Source organism: Homo sapiens, chromosome 6 (genome assembly GCF_000001405.40).
Source record: "Homo sapiens chromosome 6, GRCh38.p14 Primary Assembly".
NCBI classification, from domain to species: domain Eukaryota; kingdom Metazoa; phylum Chordata; class Mammalia; order Primates; family Hominidae; genus Homo; species Homo sapiens.
The window spans coordinates 20,594,122-20,617,440 of NC_000006.12; the positions used below are offsets into that span (position 1 = coordinate 20,594,122).

The following is a 23,319-nucleotide window of genomic DNA, read 5'->3' on the forward strand; positions in this document are numbered from 1 at the left end:
TGATGTGGTGCTGAGAAGAATGTATATTCTGTTGATTTGGGGTGGAGAGTTCTGTAGATGTCTATTAGGTCTGCTTGTTCCAGAGCTGAGTTCAAGTCCTGAATATCCTTGTTAATTTTCTGTCTTGTTGATCTGTCTAATGTTGACAGTGGGGTGTTAAAGTCTCCCACTATTATTGTGTGAGAGTGTAAATCTCTTTATAGGTCTCTAAGAACTTGTTCTGTGAATCGGGGCGCTCCTGTATTGGGTGTGTATACATCTAGGTTAGTTAGCTCTTCTTGTTGCGTTGATCCCTTTACCATTATGTAATGCCCTTTTCTCTGTGTCTTTTGATCTTTGTTGGTTTAAAGTCTGGTTCATCAGAGACTAGGATTGCAACCTCTGCTTTTTTTTTGCTTCCTATTTGCTTGGTAAATATTCCTCCATCCCTTTATTTTGAGCCTATGTGTGTCTTTGCATGTGAGATGGGTCTCCTGAATACAGCATGCCGACGGGTCTTGACTCTTTATCCAATTTGCCAGTCCGTGTCTTTTAGTTGGGGCATTTAGCCCATTTACATTTATGGTTAGCGTTGTTATATGTGAATTTGATCCTGTCATTATGATGCTAGCTGGTTATTTTGCCCATTAGTTGATGCAATTTCTTCATAGCATTGATGGTCTTTACAATTTGGTATGTTTTTGCAGTGGCTGGTACTGGTTTTTCCATTCCATATTTAGTGCTTCATTCAGGAACTCTAGTAAGGCAGGCCTGGAATCTCTCAGCATTTGCTTGTTTGTAAAGGATTTTATTTCTCCTTCACTTATGAAGCTTAGTTTGGCTGGATATGAAATTCTGGGTTGAAAATTCTTTTCTTTAAGAATGTTGAATATTGGCCGCCACTCTCTGCTGACTTGTATGGTTTCTGCAAAGAAATCCACTGTTAGTCTGATGGGCTTCCCTTTGTGGGTAACCTGACCTTTCTCTCTGGCTGCCCTTAACGTTTTTTTCTTGATTTCAACCTTTGTGAATCTGACGATTATGTGTCTTGGGGATGCTCTTCTCCAGGAGTATCTTTGTGGTGTTCTCTGTATTTCCTAAATTTGAATGTTGGCATGTCTTCTAGGTTGGGGAAGTTCTCCTGGATAGTATCCTGCAGAGTGTTTTCCAACTTGGTTCCATTCTCCCCATCACTTTCAGGTACACCAATCAAACGTAGGTTTGGTCTTTTCACATAGTCCCATAGTTCTTGGAGGCCTTGTTCATTCCTTTTCATTCTTTTTTCTCTAATAATGGGTTATTTCATTAAGTTGATCTTTAGTCTCTTTAGTCTCTGATATCCTTTCTTCCGCTTGATCCGTTTGGCTATTGATACTTGTGAATGCTTCTTGAAATTCTCATGCTGTGTTTTTCAGCTCCATCAGGTCATTTATGTTTTTCTCTAAACTGGTTATTCTAGTTAGCAATTCCTCTCACCTTTTTTCAGGGTTCTTTGCTTCCTTGCATTGGGTTAGAACATGCTCCTTTAGCTCATAGGAGTTTGTTATTACCCACCTTCTGAAGCCTACTTCTGTCAGTTCGTCACACTCATTCTCTGTCCAGTTTTGTTCCCTTGCTGGCGAGGAGTTGTGATCCTTTGGAGAAGAGGCATTCTGGTTTTTGGAATTTTCAGCCTTTTTGCGCTGGTTTTTCCTCATCTTCGTGGATTCATCTACCTTTGGTCTTTGATGTTGTTCACCTTCGGATGGGGTCTCTGAGTGGACGTCCTTTTTGTTGATGTTGATGCTATTCCTTTCTGTTTGTTAATTTTCCTTCTAACAGTCAGGACCCTCTGCTGCAGGGCTGGTGGAGTTTGCTGGAGGTCCACTCCAGACCCTGTTTACCTGGGTATGACCAGCAGAGGCTGCCGAACAGCAAAGATTGCTGCCTGTTACTTCCTCTGGAAACTTCGTCTGCCAGATGCCAGCCGGAGCTCTCCTGTATGAGGTGTCTGTCAACCCCTTCTGGGAGGTGTCTCCAAGCCAGGAGGCACGAGGATCAGGGACCCACTTGAGGAGGCAGTCCTGTCCCTTAGCAGAATTTGAGCACTGTTCTGGGAGATCTGCTGCCCTCTTCAGAGCCGGCAGGCAGGAATGTTTAAGTCTGCTGAAGCTGTGCCCACAGCTGCCCCTTCCCCCAGGTGCTCTGTCCCAGGGAGATGGGAGTTTTATCTATAAGCCTCTGACTGGGGCTGTTGACTTTCTTTCAGAGATGCCCTCCCCAGCGAGGAGGAATCTAGAGAGGCAGTCTGGCTACAGCGGCTTTGCCGAGCTGTGGTGGGCTCTGCCCAGTTCAAACTTCCTGGCAGTTTTGTTTACACTGTGAGGGGAAAACCGCCTACTCAAGCCTCAGTAATGGTGGACATCCCTCCCCACACCAAGCTTGAGTGTCCCAGGTCAACTTCAGACTGCTGTGCTGGCAGTGCGAATTTCAAGCCAGTAGATCTTAGCTTGCTGGGCTCTGTGGGAGTGGGATCTGCTGAGCTAGACTACTTGGCTCCCTGGCTTCAGCCCCCTTTCCAGGAGAGTGAATGGTTCTTTCTCGCTTGCATTCTAGGCGCCACTAGGGTATGTAGAAAAACTCCTGCAGCTAGCTCAGTGTCTGAATGGCTGCCCAGTTTTGTGGTTGAAACCCAGGGCCCTGGTGGTGTAGGCACCCGAGGGATTGTGAAGACCATGGGAAAAGTGTAGTATCTGGGCTGAAGTGCACTGTTCCTCTAGGCACAGTCCCTCACGGCTTCCCTTGGCTAGGGGAGGGAGTTCCTCGATGCCTTGTGCTTCCCAGGTGAGGCAACGCCCCGCCCTGCTTCGGCTTGCCCCCCATGGGCTGCCCCCACTGTCTAACCAGGCCCGTTGAGATGAGCCTGGCACCTCAGTTGGAAACGCAGAAATCACCCGCCTTCTGTGTTGATCTGGCTGGGAGCTGCAGACCAGAGCTGTTCCTATTTGGCCATCTTGCCAGCCACCCCTTTATTTTTATTTTTTATTTATTTTTATTTTTATTTTTTCAGACGGAGTCTCGCTTTGTCGCCCAGGCTGGAGTGCAGTGGTGTGATCTCAACTCACTGCAACCTCTGCCTCCTGAGTTCATGCCATTCTCCTGCCTCAGCCTCCCGAGTAGCTGGGACTACAGGCGCCTGCCACCACGCCTTGCTAATTTTTTGTATTTTTGGTAGAGACGGGGTTTCACCGTGTTAGCCATATTGGTCTTGATCTCCTGATCTCACGATCCGCCCACCTCAGCCTCCCAAAGTGCTGGGATTACAGGCATGAGCCACCATTTTTTATTTTTTTGAGGCAGAGTCTCACTCTTTGAACCAGGCTGGAGTGCAGTGGCATAATATTGGCTCACTGCAACCTCTGCCTCACAGGTTCAAGTGATTCTCATGCCTCAGCTTCCTGAATAGCTGGGATTACAGGTGTGCACCACCATGCCCGGCCAGTTTTTGTATTTTCAGTAGAGACAGGGTTTCACTATGTTGGCCAGGCTGGTCTCAAACTCCTGGCCTCAAGCAATCCACCTGCCTCGGCCTCCCAAAGTGCTGGGATTACAGGCGTGAGCCATCACACACAGCCCCATAATTTTATTAATAGTAGTTGTAGTTCAGTTTTTATAATTTTCTCTCCTGAAAACCCTGCCGGATACCCATTTTCCTTTTTGTTTAATCTATTGTAATATTTAACTGTATCCTGCTAAATTGATATCTAGAGAGTTTCTAAAAGGAGGAACTCTTGGGATTCAGGGCTTTAGACACGATTGAAATAAATGTCTTTCTTAATTGCAGACCGTGAGAGAAACGTGGTGGTGATCATTAAGTTTCCACTACTGAGTGTTAAAAAAGGATGTGAGTGCTGAGCCAACATTTTCTCTCTCTTTTATCTCCTGTTATTCCCTCCTCTCTGTCCATTAATATCTGTTGTGAGGTGGTTATGGCAGCTGGAGTTATAGTGCGGACATGATAGTGCTGTAATAGGAACTGCAGTCCTTTCATTTTATAGTGATGGCATGGGAGCCACGGAAAGCTGTAAAGCATTGGAGGGTTACAAGAGTTCCAGAAGTACTGTAAGAAACCTGAAGTTGCATTTCCTTACATTCTTATATTTGTGATGGTTATAGTTAGAAAAATCACTGGAATAATTTGGAGTCTAGGGAAAGCTTTGGTGTGGGCTAGTTTTGTATGAATATTTACTTTTGTTAATATTACATACCAATTTTTGTTTCTAAATGGAAACCTTAGCTTACTGAGCTTCACATTGATTTTGAGGACTGTGTAGTGGTGATTGAAAAATAGGTTACAGCCATTTTGGAAGAGAGAATACACTGGACTTTTACATGAAGTATGGCATACGATACATATCTGACACATCTTGCTAAAAAGCAAGTCCTTAATGACATGACCTCCCATCTTGAGCATAGACACATGTTTTAAATTCATAAATGATGGCCTATTGAGAGATATCTATTGTGTTCATTAAAATATACATATGAAACGAGGATCAAATTAAACATTTCAAGTAGCTAATTTTATCAGCTCTTAATAATTAATTAGTTTTTAGCATTTAGAATGAAGGTAATTAAAATAGATTTACTACATGCTATAAGATTTCTGCCTCTGGAAGATGAAAGGGGACATTTATTTTTCATATGCTTAAACATTGGCGTTTTTGCTTTTGTTCTATGGGGATTTTGTATGTAACAAAAAAACTTACTGAGTTATTTTATTATGAAATTTTAATTATAAAATATCTTTAATGCTTTTTAGTCGGCCTAAATTTAATTGTAGTTTGTTGGAATGTTACAATTTTATTTTAAATTTCTAAAGTTAATATAAAAGTCTTTTCTGCTACTGTGGTGTATTGTTATATCATTTTATTTATATTTTTATAATTTGATTTTTAAAGTGGGTCATATCTTTACATAGTTCAAAATACCCAAAATATAAAGGCAAAAGTTTTTTTCCTGTCTGGATTCCTTATTTGCTTGGTTCTCCTATAATCTCCAGGTAAAAACATTAGTTTCTTGCATATCCTTCCAGAGTTTATACAAATGCAAGTAGATATACGTACATATTATAAGTTTTTTCTTTTATCACATTTTAAAAAGTATAAATCCAGAGATATTAAGTAATAGATAATAAGTGTTAGATGTCAGATAATAACTTGTAAAGAATAAAGTTGCATTATTGTTATACTTGGAAATAAAATAATTTAATTACATGTCTCTCTCCAGTTATTTCAGGTTGAGTGTACGTTTGCTTCGTCTTCAAAGTAGAAAGTTCCTGGAGAAGACCTACTCTTTCTGGAACTGTTTTTGTTTGACCCATGCTATGCAAACTTACTCATTCATGCAAACACTGGGTGCTTTATGCAAATATTACCACCTGTATTTTTTATTTGTGTTTCTCAAAGGAGTTTTGGCAAAATTTGCATAATGACTTGGCTCATTTAGCTTTGTGTATTGTTAAGAGTTCAAATTCTGTGGATATGAAAGTTTACAGTGTATACCAAATAAAAAGGTCGTGTGGTAGGCAGTGTTCTCAGGATAAGCCTGTGTTAGGTATTCAAATCTAATTTGCATATTGGATCTAGACCTATGACTATTAACTCCATTTACAGTTGATAAAAATTTGCATAAAATTGGTCATCTTGATAGCTTAAGGTATACTGAGCAAAATGTTAACTCCTTGGGTAGCATGTGTGACTGTATGATTGTCAAGATGAAAGTTAATCTAAGCACATTTGGTTTACTGATAATCATTTCTAGAAATGAGCTGTAGTATCATGTCAGAATGTCAGAAACATGTCTGACAATTTACCTTTTCATACTAGAAATGGTGGATGACATGTTTCAAATCCTGGCAGCTGTGCTGTATCAAATCCTCCCTATGTGAATATCATGCTTGGTACTTAGATAGTTTAGGAGCAGTACTGTGGCTTGTGATTTGTTGTATAATTCTGAAAGAAAATATATTAATTTTGTGCACTTTATATTGGCTCTTGCTTTATTGTAGCCTTTATCCATTAATCTGCTACTGATGGATAATTTCTCAATCATTTGGTCCTTTTTGTAATGGCTATGTGGAGTTGGCAATTCTTTTTATTAAATATTGCATGACTGTATATGTGTTAATAATTTATTGGGGTAGTGAGCTGATATAAATCTCTTTTTAGATGAAGTTTTTGGCTATTTACAAAGGTTGATTACTTTTTAGAACAGTGATTGCCTCAGATTTGCAAAGGTTGAGGAAAAGCACACCTCTTATTTTACCTTTTTCCATTTGTGGTTAAACCTATTGTAAATATATTGGAAGGGTTTTAGGCCCTTGAAGACGCCTCTGTATTTGAACAGTTTGATTCTGTCAATTTCATTTAAATCATTATTTTTTGTAAGACCTCAGGATAAATACCACTTTTGAGGTAGTGACTGAACAAACATGAGTTCTTGAATAGTTTCTATTAAAATGTTTTTTTTAATCCTATGAGTGGTCTCTGTGCCTTTTAAAATAAGATTTTAAATAAGATGATAATTAATACTCAAGATATGATACTTTTATTTATAGTGATTTGGTTGCCTTGATCATATTTAATGATGATTTAAAAAACCTGGATGGAGAGAGAGATATATATGTATACATATATATATATATATACACACACACACATGAATGATAAATTATTCTGTAATATTATTTATACATTCATTGTTTCTAGCTAGCAAGCACCCTTAGTGTATTTAATGTATTAGATTTATATAATTCACTCTATGTACAATATTAGATTAGGATGAGAATTATATGAAATGAGGCATGCCACTATCAAGTCTGGCATGTTTTTGTTACCAAGTTCTGAGTGCTGAATGAGAAACAGTCATGTATTTACTCAGATTGATCCCGGATCCCCTGAGGGAATTGGCAGTTTCCTCTGGATGGCATTGCTAAATCTTCAGTTTTCTTTCTTCCTCGCTCTCTCTGTGGCCCATACTTAGGTCAGATTACTGAGAAAATCAGTGTTATTGACGAATGCCTTGTACATGATTATAAAAGTCTCAATACCTCTGAGAAAGATCAGAAACACATAATTAAATGCAAATAGGGTAACTTATTTAATTTTGAGTTAATTATAGCTTCATCCAATGTCATTGATTACTGGGGCAGCACAACTTGGTGTCCATCTAGTACAGATGATAGTGATTCTTATTTTTTCTTTTAGATATATTAATGCTTGACTTTGAGGATAACACATTTTTAATTCAGAACTAGTGTTTAAGTTTTTTGTTGTTAAGTTTTAACAAAAGTTTTTCTTGTGGGCATGGGAATGGTAAGTAGTGATTAAAGTTTTGAATTTAATGGATATAAGGAAGAAAAATAAACTGAGAATTGACTTACATTTTTTCTTGGAGAGGAGGGGATTCAGCACTCTCAGAGCCTCTCCTCTGTTAGCGTGCTGGTAGTTGATGAGGATGAAGTTGATGAGATGAGCAAGAATCTGGAAGGACCAAGCATAGGTATACTAATTACACAGAACTTTAAAAATCCGTGTATGATTATTTCATTGCATTGTAGAATTGCAGATGAGAAAAGAATTTGCAATATTTAACTCAAATTTGTTTTATAGCTAAAATAACCGAGGCCCGCAGAGATTGGGAGATGTGTGTGAAGCCATTGAATGAGTTACTGGCAGCCTAGAATCCAGATCATATTTATTCAACCTAATGCCTTCTTCTGCATTATTCTCTTTCCATGTTTATTTGTTATACATACAGTAGTTGTTATTGGCTTGCTAGATGGTTATGTATGATTGAGAAAGGAGGTAGGAAGACCTAATGAAAAGTTTATTTCACGATTCTGCTGAAGACTTGGTCTGCTGACAGTTAATAATAGTAGCTAATATAACATTGAGAACTTGCTGTGTAAGGGACACTGTGCAAAGAGCTTCATGGGTACTTACATGTAATCTCCACAGAGTTCTCTGAGGTAGATAGCAGTATTATAATACTATTTTGTAGATGCAAAAACCAAGTCTTAAATAGGTGAAGTAATTTGCTAAAGATACTTATCTACTCAGTATGGGGGCACATATTTGAACTCCTACCATATCCCATTCTGCTTCCCTTTATTTATCAGTCAGCATATAAGGGAAGGTCTTTGAACAGATCCAAAGCCCTTGTCAGCTCTCATGTCCAGTGACTACTGGAATTTAAGTTTTTTCCCTCTTTTTCTAAGAAAATTTTTCTTTTCATTATAATATGAAAATCAGCTAATTGAATCTCACCCCAGATTTCAAGGGATTGGACTCCTTCATGTCAAGTTTATTCTGGATAGTCTCTCAGCCCTTAGGGAGGAATGGGGTTAGCTTGCTATTATTGCTTGCTATTATTTGGTCCTCAGGATTTTAGGCTTTTACGTCGTGGTTAGTGGTTTATCAACCATCCTGAAAATGGCATAATTATAGTCTTTTGAGGATTGATGGTAGATGAACAGGTTACCTGATTTACCTTTCCTTGGGAAGTTGGAACACTTGCCTACCTCTTGCCTTTCCATATTTTCTTCTTTCTCCATGATTCCTCAGAGGTTACTTACTTACTGATTCAGCAGCCTCACTTGGTTGTTCTTTGATTCCCTGGGATATCAGTTTTCTGGGCTGGGTTTGGAGCAGTGAGGCATTCTTTATTCTTCTTACCCACTGTGGCCTCTAATTCCTTTTAACCATATTCATTGTATGCTTTTCTCATCTGAAGAAGATGGTCACATCCAGTTTCTCAGTGTGAGGATGAAAAACTCACTGGTAATTTTTGTTTTGGGTCTCCTTATTGATTAGGACTCTAGTCCTGTCATACTGATTAAATCTCAGAAGGGTATAGATGTAGGGAGTGGAATCTGCTTGTTCCCACTGAGTTCGGAAACAAGGAGGATACTGTGAGCAAAGGTTTATTCAGTGATTTTTCTTCCTCTTCTACTTTTTCTTTTTCTGTGTATTATTTGGTTCTGGCAAGTACCAATAAAAGAATCACCGTGCAGACCTCTAGGATTTTAGAGCAAATTTGTGCCCTCTCTGCTGATAATGATTCTTCTTTTGAGAAACAGTTCCTGGCTTTTGACTTTGCTAGAGACTGAACACCTACTCATGAGATCTCAGGTGACCATGTGGCTGAGTTTCCCATCATGAATTGGCTGTTGTCTGACCTGTTTAGCCATAGGTTGGGAACAAGCAGCAGCTATCTGTTATTAAGTGAAAATGGTATATAAGAGACCAAGGTTGGGCAGGTCCAGATAATATAAGTAAGTTAAACGAGCTGGTGGCTCAGACTCCTTTGATACCAACTTCTGTTCCATTGCTTCCACTCCTTCACTCCATGTGTATGGTCTCCTGGGATGTTCCTTATGGACCATTTGAGTGAAGAAGAAAATTTGAGCCTAGTTTATAAGTGGGTCTGGATGATATGCAAGTGTTACTCAGAAGCAGACACGGAAACACTAAAGCCCCACAAAAGACTCACCATGAAGGACAATGGTGAAGGAAGATCTTCCCAGTGGACAGAACTTCTGTGCATTATATTTTGTTGCCTACTATGTCTGCAGTAGGAGATGGCCAGGGACAAAGATCTACATTGATTAATGGGCAGTTGCTAAATTTTTTTTTTTTTTTTTTTTTTTTTTGAGACGGAGTCTAGCTTAGTCACCCAGGCTGGAGTGCAGTGGTGTGATACCGGCTCACTGCAACCTCCACCTCCCGGGTTCAAGCGATTCTCCAGCCTCAGCCTCCCAGATAGCTGGGATTACAGGCGCTTGCCACCACGCCCGGCTAATTTTTGTATAGTTGCTAATGTTTTATCTTGGTGGTCAGAGACCTGGAACAAACAGGATGTGAAGACTGGTGACAAGGAAGTCTAGGGAAGAGGTGTGTGGATAGACCTCTCTGAATGTCCACAAACTGTGAAAATTGAGTGCCATGTGAATGCCTGTTAAAGGGCATCTACTGCAAAGGATACTTGCTAGTGAGCTGGACAGAACAACGTGCTGTGTGCATGTCAGTCAGCCTTTTATTCACCCACATTAGGGCTTGCTCAGTGGACCCATGAAAAGGTGGCTATATTGGCAGGGTTGGGAGCTCTTCATGGGTTCAACAATAAGGTCTTTCCCTTTACAAGACTGATTGGCTACTGTTATTGCTGAGTGCCTAATCAGCCAACTGCAGAGTCCAACATTGAGTCCCTGATATGGCACCATTCACTGAGGAACCAGCCAGCCATCTGCTAGTGGTTGATTATATTGGACCTCTTCCATCATGGAGGGGGCAAAGATATATTCTCACAGGGCTAGTAGCATATTCTGCATATGGATTTGCTTTCTCTACCTATAATGCTTCTGCCAGCACCACCATCTGTAGACTCACATAAAACTTTATTCACTGTTAGGGCATTCTGCATTGTATTGCTTCTGATCAAGAATTCCTTCTCTAGCAAAGAAGGTGCGGCTATGGGCTCGTGCTCTTGGAATTAACTGGTCTTGCCCCATACCCCGTGATCTGAAAGTGGCTAGCCTAATTGAAAGGTAGAATGGCTTACTGAATACTCCTAATGCTAATTGAAAGGCAGTACCATGAAAGGATGGGGTTCTGTTTTACAAGATGTAGTATACAATTTGAATCTGTGACCAATACATGTGCTGTCTCTTTGACTCTGGGATTCAAGGGGTAAGTGAGAGTAGCTTTGCTCATTGTTACACCTAGTAACTCACTTGCAGATCTTTTATTTCCTTTCTTGGAAATACTGAGCTTTGCTGAGCTCTGGTTTGGAGACCTTGGACTTCAAGGGGATAGTGTTTCCACTAGAGGATACAACAGTGGTTCTATGAGATTGGAAGATGGGGCTGCTTCTTGGCCATTTTGCAGTCCTTACACTACTGAGCAAATACTCAGAAAGAGGAGCTAATTTAGTCACTGGAGTAATTGATACTGATAACCAAGGGGAAATTGGGGATTTGATACACTGCAGTCAAAGAGACAATATCTGAAATTCAGGGGATTCTCTGGGCACCTCTTAGTACTTCCATCCCCAACAGTGAAGGTTAATAGAAAATAATACCAGCCAAAAAAGGGCAGGATGATTAATGGCTCAAATATTTCAAGAAGGAAGGTTTGGGTCACTCCACCAGGTAAAGAACTCAGAGCAGCTGAGGTTGTTTCATCTCTGGAGCTTTGATCTGGGTCTTCTTTTTAATATCCTCGAGTTCTATGCTTAATTTTTGGGTACACTAATAATGGTTATAATAACTTTTTAATGATTTATCTATTCTAACATCTGTGCCAATTCTGGGTCAGTTCTTATTCTCCAATTTTTCTTCTCATTATGGGATTCCTTTTTCTTATTTTTTACATGCCTGGTACTTTTTGATAAGATGCTAAACATTGTAAATTTTACCTTTTTGGTTGCTGGATATTTTTGTGTTCTTATAAATATTTTTGAGCTTTGTTCTGGATGCAGTTAAATTACTTGGAAACAGGTTGGTTCTGTTCAGCATGACTGGAGCCATGCTCAGTCAAGGGCTAATTATTCCCTGCTACTGAGGCAAGATCCTTCTGTGTGCTTTACTCAGTGCCCCATCAGTCGTGAAATTTTCATGACTGGCTGGTAAGAACAGGCATTATCCCCAGTACTGAGTCAGCTCTGGGCGCCGTTACTCCATTCTTTTGAGGTCATTCTTTCCCCAGCTTTGGTTGGTTTCCTCACATACATGCACTGGTCAATGCTCAGCTGAGTACTGTAATTACTCCTCTCAAGTACTCTGTCTTACAAACTCTAGCAAGCCTTGATTTCCTCAAATTCTTAACTCTGTCTTAGTGCAGAGTCTTCTGGACTGACTGCCTTGCACAACTGCAGCCAAGTCTGGAAACTGACAAAGCAGTAAGCTGGGGCAATTGTAGGGCCCACTTCATTTGTTTTCCGTCTCTCAGGGGTCACTGTTCTGCATTGTGTTATGTTCAATGTCTTGAAAAATTATTGTTTTATATGTTCGGCCTGTTTTTTGGTCGTTTCATGTGGAAGCTTTTAATGTTAATGTTATTTCTGAGACCATATATTTATATAACATTGAATTGGATAAGATTAAACAGAAGAAACATTATTTAGAAAGTTAAAAAAATTTTTCTGCGTGAGAGCCTGTTGTTAGTTATTTAGAATCACTTCTTAATCACAGCAAGATACTTTGTTTTATTGAAGATTTGTTTCCCTCTAGATTTTCTCCTTATTAAATAGTAGAACATAGAGAAGAGAACAGTTAAGGTCGGCCGGATTGCTTCTGCAGGTTTGTGTCCATAGAGAAGCTGAATGTGTAGAATTTCAAGAAGGTAATTGAGAAGTCCGGGAGTAGAGTTTATCTCAACACCAAAAGAATCATTTTTAAATAAATACAGGGTGAGAAAAGTGAAGAATCAAAAGAGTAGCTTTTGAAGCACAGTATTCCTAAGGTCTTGTTTTAAGGATATGTTTCTGTGTTTGTTTTTTATTGATTTGAGATCATCTTAATGCGTGTTAGAAAATTTATCAGGCTGAACGAGTTGATCCTAAAATGCTGCAGAAAAGTTGGATGTGAAATGGGAAAGAAAACTAACTTTCATGAGATGCTTCGTAAAATCTATTTCAATTCAGGGTGAAAATTGCAAAACTGTCTGCCAATGCGTTTTTGATGGACATTCTGGCTATTTGTGTGAGTCTTCTGCATTGAGGTTTTATTTATTGAGCTTCCTTTTGCTTCACTCTAGACCAGGTGGTTTACATATGTTATCTCATCTTGTCCTTCTGACAAATCCTGTGAGGTATGTGGTGTTAATCTCATTTTAAAGATGAAGATTTTCAGGCTTATAGGGTTTAGGTAGTTGACTTAAGGTCACTGGTAGTAAGCAGGGATTATGGCTGGGTCTTTGACTGCTAGGCAAGTATTAACACCTCATCACACACATGGGCTGCTTTTTCTGAAGGTAGTAGGTGGAGATTTCTTTCCTTGAGTAAAAGGGCAAAAAAGAAAGAACGTAAAGTAGTTTTTAGAAGTAGTTTCTTCTGGTCACCAAATTAACAGGAAAAGGGAAACTTGTCTAACCTAGGTGTTGTGTTTTCCCCATTATTCTGACTACAGTAATTTCTGTTGAAATAACCACAGTCATTTTGTTGAAAAGCCATACGTGTTTCTAAATAAAATAGTTACATAATTTTAAGTGCATATTTTAATTAATTACACATTCTTTTAAATTATTCATAGACTATCATAGATTTTTATATCAGTTGGCATCTGGAGTCACAATGTAAATATTAGAAAAAAGATTCAGAGGACCTTTTTCCCAAATAAAATCATGTGACCCTAAAGAACAATTTAAATAACACTATAAAAACAGAGTTATCAGGAGAGGGAGTGGTGGCTACCGATATTTACCATTTTTTCTTGGTGGGGATTTATAGGAATAGAATACAGTCAGTTCCTCTATTTATTTATTTTTGTTTGTTTGTTTAAACCCGTTGCTGTTGTGTCATTAAGAATGTAAAATAATGAGATAGCTTTTTTCTTTTTTCTTTTTTTTTTCTTTTGAACAAGTCTCACTCTTTTGCCTAGGCTGGAGTGCAGTGGTGCGATCTCAGCTCACTGCAACCTCCGCCTCCCAGGTTCAAGCAATTCTCCTGCCTCAGCCTCCTGAGTAGCTGGGACTAGAGGCATGTGCCACCACACCTGACTAATTTTTGTATTTTTAGTAGAGATGGGGTTTCACCATGTTGGCCAGGTTGGTCTTGAACTCCTGACCTCAAGTGATCCACCTGCCTTGGCCTCCCAGAGTGCTGGGATTACAGACATGAGCCACTGCACCCAGCCCAAGGTAACTCTTAATAAATACAGCAATAGCTCAGGGTACTTACATCTGAGTGTGTTCTGCTGTTCCTGAAATAAATTAACATATGCATAGTAAACTCTAAAGTTATCACCATTTGGGTACATAGAAGTTTACTGAGGAAAGAAGTTTAGTGTCTGTCATATAAACAGCATTATTATCCTTGGTAATGTCTGAAGTATACAGCCAAAGTTGAGAAAGTTTTTGAACTAATAAAAATATATTTTCATTGATTATGAGAGTGAAATTGGTACATGTGTAATTTATATATATATAAAGTACACAAGTTATCTATATATAGTTTGTATACTTAAGGAAATTGAAAATTTAAGAAATTGAAAATCTACTACTTTTTAGTACTTTTTAGGTTTCTTTCCAGTTCTAAGTGAGTGTGACTTTGTATAACTGCATTGTAGTATGTTCTCCTCTATGCAAAAATAAACAAGTAAATAAAACCCAGTGTTATATCCTTGACGAGGACACTATTTTGTTGCTGACATATGGTTAGTCATGAGTTGTATTCAGTACCATACCTTCCTCATTTAGCAGCACCATCTGTTAAAACTATGGCTGATACCAGTAGAGAGGAAGCCAATTATTTTTGAGTTTGTGAGCATGGGATAAATGCGAATATGTCTGAAGTTGCCCGCAGTCAAATCCTTTACAACTGGTGTAGTCAAACAATTGGAGGTAGTGCTACCTTGGGGAACCAGGTCAGGAAAGAACATGATAATGCTTGTTCGGCATCTTTCTCTACTCTTAGCAAGGGTGATGTGTTATAAAATTAAATAACACATAATTAAGTTATTAAAAAGATTTGCATGATATGCTTTGTTTTTAAGGCTCTCAAACTATTGGTGTTTGTGGTTTGTGACTGCAGCTGGCATAATAAGAGTTGGTAAAGGTCTTTTCACAATGAGGCAAAACCTTTACAGGAATGATTTTCTTCATAGGCTTTTTATGGATTTGGGAGAGTATTGTACTAATAAAGTTAAGCATGAAGTTATTAGACATTTATCATTGATTTCATGTCTGTGTCTTTATCTGTGTTACGAATGCTTTGGACTGCACATATGGGAATATAGCAGAATAACTGGCCTTGGAGGGACATTGGGTTTTTCAAAACAGACCTCTTATCTGTGTGTGTGCTGGCAGCAAGTATGTATTTTTCGATTTCCACCTGGACTCTTGGAGCACCTTTTTATTTTCTTCTTCTTTCTTCCTTCTTCCTTCCTTCTTCTTCCTCCTTCCTTCCTCCTCCTTCTCCTCCTTCTCCTTCTTCTCCTTCTCCTCCTCCTCCTCCCCCCTCCTCTCTCCCTCCTCCCTCTCTTTTCCCTCCTTCTCCTCCCTTCTTCTCCTTCTCCTTCTTCTTCTTCTTCTTCTTCTTCTTCTTTTTTTTTTTTGAGATGGAATCTCACTCTGTCACCCAGGCTAGAATGCAGTGGCACAGTCTCGACTCACTGCAGCCTCCGTCTCCCAGGTTCAAGTGATTCTCCTGCCTCAGCCTCCCGAGTAGCTAGGATTACAGGTGTGCACCACCACGCCCAGCTAATTTTTGTATTTTTAGTAGAGATGGGGTTTCACCATGTTGTTCAGGCTGGTCTCAAATTCCTGACTTCAAGTGATCTGCCCACCTTGGCCTCCCAAAGTTTATTATTATTATTCATCTTAATGTTCTCCTTAATATTGGGACCATATTCTGCTAAATGAAGCATGGTATATATGATTTTTCCTTTTTCTAGAGGTTTATCTTTGGAAAATTTTATTTTCTTTTAACTTTTATTTTTACTTCAGGGGTACAAGTGCAGGTTTGTTACATAGGTAAACTTGTGTCATGAGGGTTCGTTGTACAGATTACTTCATCACAGGTATTAAGCCCAGTATCCGTTAGTTATTTTTCCTGATCGTCTCCCTCCTCCTGCCCTCCATCCTCTAATAAGCCCCAGTGTGCGTTGTTCCCCTCTATGTGTCCATGTGTTCTCATCATTTAGCTCCCACTTATAAGAGAACATGCAGTATTTGGTTTTCTGTTCCTGTGTCAAGTTTGCTAAGGATAATGGCCTCCATCTCCATCCATGTCCCTGCAAAGGACATGATCTCATTCTTTTTTAGGGCTGTGTAGTATTCCATGGTGTGTATATACCACATTTTCTTTATTCAGTCTCCCATTGATGGACATTTAGGTTGATTCCGTGTCTTTGCTATTGTGAATAGTGCTACAAAGAATATACACTTGCATGTGTCTTTATAATAAAACAGTTTATATTTCCATGGATATCTGCCCAGTAATGGGATTGCTGGGTTGAATGGTATTTCTGTCTTTAGGTCTTTGAGGAATCGCCATACAGTATTCCATAGTGGCTGAACTAATTTACATTCCCACCAACATTGTATAAGCTTTTCCTTTTTCTCCCCAACCTTGCCAGCATCTGTTATTTTTTGACTTTAATAATAGCTGTTCTGACTGGTGTGGAAAACGTTTTTTTTTCTTTTTTTTTGAAGTAGTGACAACTTTGAAATTATATTTGGCTCTGTTTTTGCCCAGTCTTCCCTCTCCTCTTCCCTCATGCACAAACTTACCATAGGACCAATAACCCATATCAGGCCAGACTTTCCCTTCCCTCACTTTCCCTCCTTTTCTCTTATTTTCCTTTCTGTAAGTAAATCTTATCCAAAACAGGAAACAAACATTAATAAAATATAAAAGGCAGGGAGACAATGGCAACAAAATTCTACTTTAGGCTAGAATCTAATTCTTGAGTAATTCTTTCAGAAAAGATCTGGGTGGTAAATTCTCTGTGCTCTTGCACAACTGAACATGTTTCATACTTGTTGGAATGAGTCTAGTTTTTGAAACTTTAAAATATTTTTTAGAGACAGGATCTTGAACTTGGGCTCATGTGATCCTCCTGTCTTAGCCTCCTGAATAGCTTGGACTACAGGTGCACACCACCACGCCTGACTAGAATGGGTCTAAATGTTTAGATTCAAAGTCATTTTCCCTCACAGCTTTGAGGCATTCCTTCCTTTAGAATTTATTCTAATAGTTAAGAAATCTGGTGGCCATCTGTTTTCTTTCTCTGCAGGCATCTTTTGTTTTTCATTTTTCAAAAACTTTTAGGCCTTTATTTTTAGCCTTAGTCATCTAAATATCAGAAGGACATTCCTGGTGTGAATGTCTATTCAGCTACTTCATGCTTAGGGCTCTAGGGATTCTGTCAATCTGAGGTTTCGTGTCTTAGCCCTGGAAAGGTTTTAAGTTTGTCCTTAATTTCCATACCTTCATTTTCTTTATGTTCTCCATTTCTGGCAATCCTGTTATATGTGTCAGCTTTTGTGGACTGGTCCTTTGTGCAGTGATCCACCTGCCTCAGCCTCACAAAGTGCTGGGATTACAGATGATTTTAAAGTGATGGTGTTATTTTTCAGGAGGCTAACTCTATTATTGGTATATGATAGATGGGGAAGATTTTACCTGTGACCCAGAATGAACATGTTTGTTATGTATTTCAGTTTAAAATTAATAATGTGTGTGACCAAGACACTGGTGTTTACTATTACTGTTATGCTCTTGGATAAAGCTAAGAATATTAAAACTTGAAAAAATTAATACATAATATGTTACATATTTGTGGGTACGTGTAATATTTTGTTATGTGCATACAATGTGTAATGATTGAGTCAATATTTGGGGTGTTCATTGCCATGAATATTTATCATTTCTGTGTACTGGGAACATGTCAGGTCCTCTCTTCTAGTTGTATATTTGAAATATACAATATATTGTTGCTGTCTGTAGTCACCCTACTCGGCTATCAAACATTAGAACCTATTCTTTCTATCTAACTGTATGTTTGTACCTATTAACCAGTCTCTCGTTATCCCTCCTAGTCCTTGGCACATCCCCTTCCCACTTGCGATATCTATTATTCTATTCTCTACCTCCATGAGGTCAACATTTTTAGCCCCCACATGAGTGACAACATGCAAAATTTGTCTTTCTTTGCCTGGTTTATTTCACTTAATGTAATGATTTCCAGTTCCATTCATGTTGCTGCAAATGATATGATTTTGTTCTTTCTTTATGGCCAAATAGCATTCCATTGTATATATGTACCACATTTTCTTTATCCATTTTTCTGTGACAGACACTTAGGTTGATTTCATAGCTTTGCTATTGTGAGTAGTGCTGCAGTGAACATGGAAGTGCAGGTATCCTTTTGATAAACTGATTTTTTTTTCCTTTGGATAAATACCCGTTAGTGGGATTGCTGGATCATATGGTAGTTCTATTTGTAGTTTTTTGAGAAATCTCAATACTGTTTTCCATAATGGTTGTACTAATTTACATTACCACCAACAGTGAACAAGAGTTCCCTTTTCTCTGCATCCTTATAAGCACCTGTTATTTTTTGTCTTTTTAATAGTAGCCATTCTAACTGGGGTGAGATGATATCTCATTGTGGTTTTGCTTTACATTTCCCTGATGATTAGTGATGTTGAGCATTTTTCCATATACCTGTTGTCCATTTGTATGTTTCGTTTTGAGAAATGTCTATTCACATACTTTGCCTGTTTCTTAATTAGATTTTTTTTTTGCTGTTGAGTTCCTTATATATTCCGCTTATTAATTCTTTGTCAGAGGAATAGCTTGCTAATATTTTCTTCCTTTTTGTAGGTTGTCTCCTCACTTTGTTCCTGGTTTTCTTGCTGTGCAGAAGCTTTTTAGCTTGATGTAAAACCATTTGTCTACTTTTGGTTTTGTTGTCTGTGCTTTTGAGGTCTTAATGATAAAATCTTTGCCTAGACCAATGTCCTGGAGTGTTTTCCCTATGTAAAATCACTTTTTTGAATGGATAATTTGTTGAATGGCACAAAATTCAAAGGGAACCAAAACCCATACAGTAAGTAATAAGACTCCATCCATCTGCCGTCTGCTTCAGCTAAGTATTTGTGAAGAAACTCATTGTTGCAATTTCTACACACACACACACACACACACACACACACACACACACACACACACACACACACAAAGGGTATGGATTTATAAGAATAAATGTACACACACACACATATATATATACATACATAATGTTTTTTGCTTTCTCCTTTTACATAAAAGTTAGCATATAATACACATGATTTTCATTTAACTATTTAGGTTGTTGCAGAAGTAATTGCAGCTAATATATGATTTGGTTACCTTGTTTTATCAGTTCATCACAAAATTTCTTTCTTTTTTTTTTTTTTTTTTTTTTTTTTTTTTTTTTTTTTTTTTTGAGACGGAGTCTCGCTCTGTCACCCAGGCTAGAGTGCAGTGGCGTGATCTCAGCTCACTGCAACCTCCGCCTTCCAGGTTCAAGTGATTCTCGTGTCTTGGCCTCCCAAGTAGCTGGGATTACAAGCATGTGCCACCATACCCGGCTGATTTTTGTATTTTTAGTAGAGACAGGGTTTCACCATGTTGGCCAGGCTCGTATCAAATTCCTAGTCTCAAGTGACCTGCCCTCCTCGGCCTTCCGAAGTGCTGAGATTACATGTGTGAGCCACCATGCCTGGCTGCGACAAAGTTTCTTATTTTATTTTTTGAAGTAGTAGTATATTCCATTTTGAGGATATGGGATATTTATATACAGTAAATATTTATATATTTATATATAATATATATTATTTAGCCATTCCTTTTATTCTAGACATTTTTGTTGTTTCTTTTCTTGGCTTTTGCTAATAACAAAACTGCTACAGTGATACCCATGTCTTTGTATTTATGTATCATTTTGCATATGCATAAATATATTTTTAGACTATCTGGAAGTGTAATTACTGGGTTAAAAGTTGTGTACATTTCTAATTTTGATAGATATTACCTAATTGCCTTGTGTAGAGATTATATTAATTTATGCTCCCATCAACAACATATATGCTTGCTGGTTTCCCCAGAACCTTGCCAACATAGTTCTATGTATCATGAGTTTTTTTTGATCTTTGCCCATCTGATGAATGAAAAATGGGATCTCAGTGTCTTTTAGTTTGCATTTCTTACAAGGGTGATTTTTTGTTTCATTTTCTGTGACCTGTCTGTATCCCTTTATCATTTTTCTGTTGGGTGACGCTTACTGATTTGTAGGTACTCTCTATTTGGGAAATCAACCCTTCATGATATGATTTCCAGATTTTTCCCCCTTTGCTATATTTTTATGTTGTTTATGGTTGCTCTTGCCATGAAGAAAATAATTACTTTTTACATAGTTCACTTTATCAGTGTTTTCTTTTACTCCAAGGTGATGATGGTAATTCTCTGATTGTTTCTGCTGTTACTTTAATGGTTTCATTTTCTTACATTTAAATCTTTGAGTTACATGAAATTTATTTTGATTTATGCATCATTGATGGTTCCAGCTCTCCTTCCCCTGGATGACTAGCCATTTCTCCTGATACCATTTATTAATTTATCTTTTCTCCTTTAATTCGAATGCATCTACCAAAAGCTAACTTACTAAATGTATTTGTATTCCTTCTCTCATATTTAAGAGTTATGTTTGTTCAGTATGAAAAAGTTCAAACGTACCCACAAGTAGAGGGAATAGCTCAGCAAGACCCCCCTACTTATCACAGATTCAGTAATTAAGATTTATCTTTTTTTCCTTTTACTTATGTTTTTGCTGAAGAATTTTAAAGCAATCCCAGATAACATGTCATTTGCCTCTTAGTAGTTCTGCGTGTAGCTTTAAAAATATGGACTTTCAAAAGATAATCAAATATTTGACTTTTTTTGTTTATTATACTTTAAGTTTTAGGGTACATGTGCACATTGTGCAGGTTAGTTACATATGTATACATGTGCCATGCTGATGCGCTGCACCCACTAACTCGTCATCTAGCATTAGGTATATCTCCCAGTGCTATCCCTCCCCCCTCCCCCCACCCCACCACAGTCCCCAGAGTGTGATATTCCCCTTCCTGTGTCCATGTGATCTCATTGTTCAATTCCCACCTATGAGTGAGAATATGCGGTGTTTGGTTTTTTGTTCTTGCGATAGTTTACTGAGAATGATAATTTCCAATTTCATCCATGTCCCTACAAAGGACATGAACTCATCATTTTTTATGGCTGCATAGTATTCCATGGTGTATATGTGCCACATTTTCTTAATCCAGTCTATCATTGTTGGACATTTGGGTTGGTTCCAAGTCTTTGCTATTGTGAATAATGCCGCAATAAACATACGTGTGCATGTGTCTTTATAGCAGCATGATTTATAGTCCTTTGGGTATATACCCAGTAATGGGATGGCTGGGTCAAATGGTATTTCTAGTTCTAGATCCCTGAGGAATCGCCACACTGACTTCCACAATGGTTGAACTAGTTTACAGTCCCACCAACAGTGTAAAAGTGTTCCTATTTCTCCACATCCTCTCCAGCACCTGTTGTTTCCTGACTTTTTAATGATCGCCATTCTAACTGGTGTGAGATGGTATCTCATTGTGGTTTTGATTTGCATTTCTCTGATGGCCAGTGATGATGAGCATTTTTTCATGTGTTTTTTGGCTGCATAAATGTCTTCTTTTGAGAAGTGTCTGTTCATGTCCTTCGCCCACTTTTTGATGGGGTTGTTTGTTTTTTTCTTGTAAATTTGTTTGAGTTCATTGTAGATTCTGGATATTAGCCCTTTGTCAGATGAGTAGGTTGCTAAAATTTTCTCCCATTTTGTAGGTTGCCTGTTCACTCTGATGGTAGTTTCTTTTGCTGTGCAGAAGCTCTTTAGTTTAATGAGATCCCATTTGTCAATTTTGGCTTTTGTTGCCATTGCTTTTGGTGTTTTGGACATGAAGTCCTTGCCCATGCCTATGTCCTGAATGGTAATGCCTAGGTTTTCTTCTAGGGTTTTTATGGTTTTAGGTCTAACGTTTAAGTCTTTAATCCATCTTGAATTGATTTTTGTATAAGGTGTAAAGAAGGGATCCAGTTTCAGCTTTCTACATATGGCTAGCCAGTTTTCCCAGCACCATTTATTAAATAGGGAATCCTTTCCCCATTGCTTGTTTTTCTCAGGTTTGTCAAAGATCAGATAGTTGTAGATATGCGGCGTTATTTCTGAGGGCTCTGTTCTGTTCCATTGATCTATATCTCTGTTTTGGTACTAGTACCATGCTGTTTTGGTTACTGTAGCCTTGTAGTATAGTTTGAAGTCAGGTAGTGTGATGCCTCCAGCTTTGTTCATTTGGCCTAGGATTGCCTTGGCGATGCGGGCTCTTTTTTGGTTCCATATGAACTTTAAAGTAGTTTTTTCCAATTCTGTGAAGAAAGTCACTGGTAGCTTGATGGGGATGGCATTGAATCTGTAAATTACCTTGGGCAGTATGGCCATTTTCACGATATTGATTCTTCCTACCCATGAGCATGGAATGTTCTTCCATTTGTTTGTATCCTCTTTTATTTCCTTGAGCAGTGGTTTGTAGTTCTCCTTGAAGAGGTCCTTCACATCCCTTGTAAGTTGGATTCCTAGGTATTTTATTCTCTTTGAAGCAATTGTGAATGGGAGTTCACTCATGATTTGGCTCTCTGTTTGTCTGTTATTGGTGTATAAGAATGCTTGTGATTTTTGTACATTGATTTTGTATCCTGAGACTTTGCTGAAGTTGCTTATCAGCTTAAGGAGATTTTGGGCTGAGACAATGGGGTTTTCTAGATATATTTGACTTTTTATGGCCAGGAGCAGTGGCTCATGCCTGTAATCCCAGCACTTTGGGAGGCTGAGGTGGGCAGATCATTTAGCCCAGGAGTTCGAGACCAGCCTGGACAGCATGGCGAAACCCCGACTCTACCACACACACACACACACACACACACACACACACACACACACACTACAAAAATTAGCTGGACATGATGGTGTGCACCTGTAGTTTTAGTTACTTTAGAGGCTTAGGCTGGAGAATCACCTGAGTGCACGAAGTTGAGGCTGCAGTGAGCTGTGATTGCACCACTGCACTCCAGGCTGGGTGAGTGAAACCTTTCTGTCTCAGAAGAAAAAAAAAAAAGCCTTTTTGTTCTAAATTAAAGAGAAAAACCACGGGGGGCTTAATAGTTGATGTCTGTGCTTTTACTGGTACTCAGTTGCTGAAGGTGGTATCATATTAGTCCTTTAATTGCTTAGAGTTGTGTCCTCATGAAACTTTCTCCCTGAACTTGCTTTTAAGGGAGATCTGCCTCTGTATGCCATGGTATTGGAATGTTTTATTAGTGTAGAAGTGTCTAGATGATTTTCCTAGGGGGCCACTTAATGAGCAGTCTGTGTGTAGGCCCTATGAATAATAAAATTGTGATCAGTGGTTAAGTATAGCCAAATGTATGGATAGGACCTAGGGAATAATAAAGAAGTGCTTCAAATGTAGCTTAAAACTATTTTTTTTTAAATTTTACTTT

At 38.6% G+C, this 23,319-nt stretch overlaps 1 protein-coding gene and 1 long non-coding RNA gene across 13 annotated transcripts in view; both read left to right on the top strand.

The window, feature by feature from the left end:
* The window catches only part of CDKAL1 (CDKAL1 threonylcarbamoyladenosine tRNA methylthiotransferase), a 697,948-nt gene that overhangs the window by 59,665 nt on the left and 614,964 nt on the right, over nt 1–23,319 (top strand). The window lies entirely within an intron of this gene.
* LOC105374968 (uncharacterized) lies at nt 3,569–6,496 on the top strand. The gene is made up of 2 exons (XR_926571.2): nt 3,569–3,862; nt 5,248–6,496. It is a non-coding gene; the product is annotated as an uncharacterized LOC105374968 (long non-coding RNA).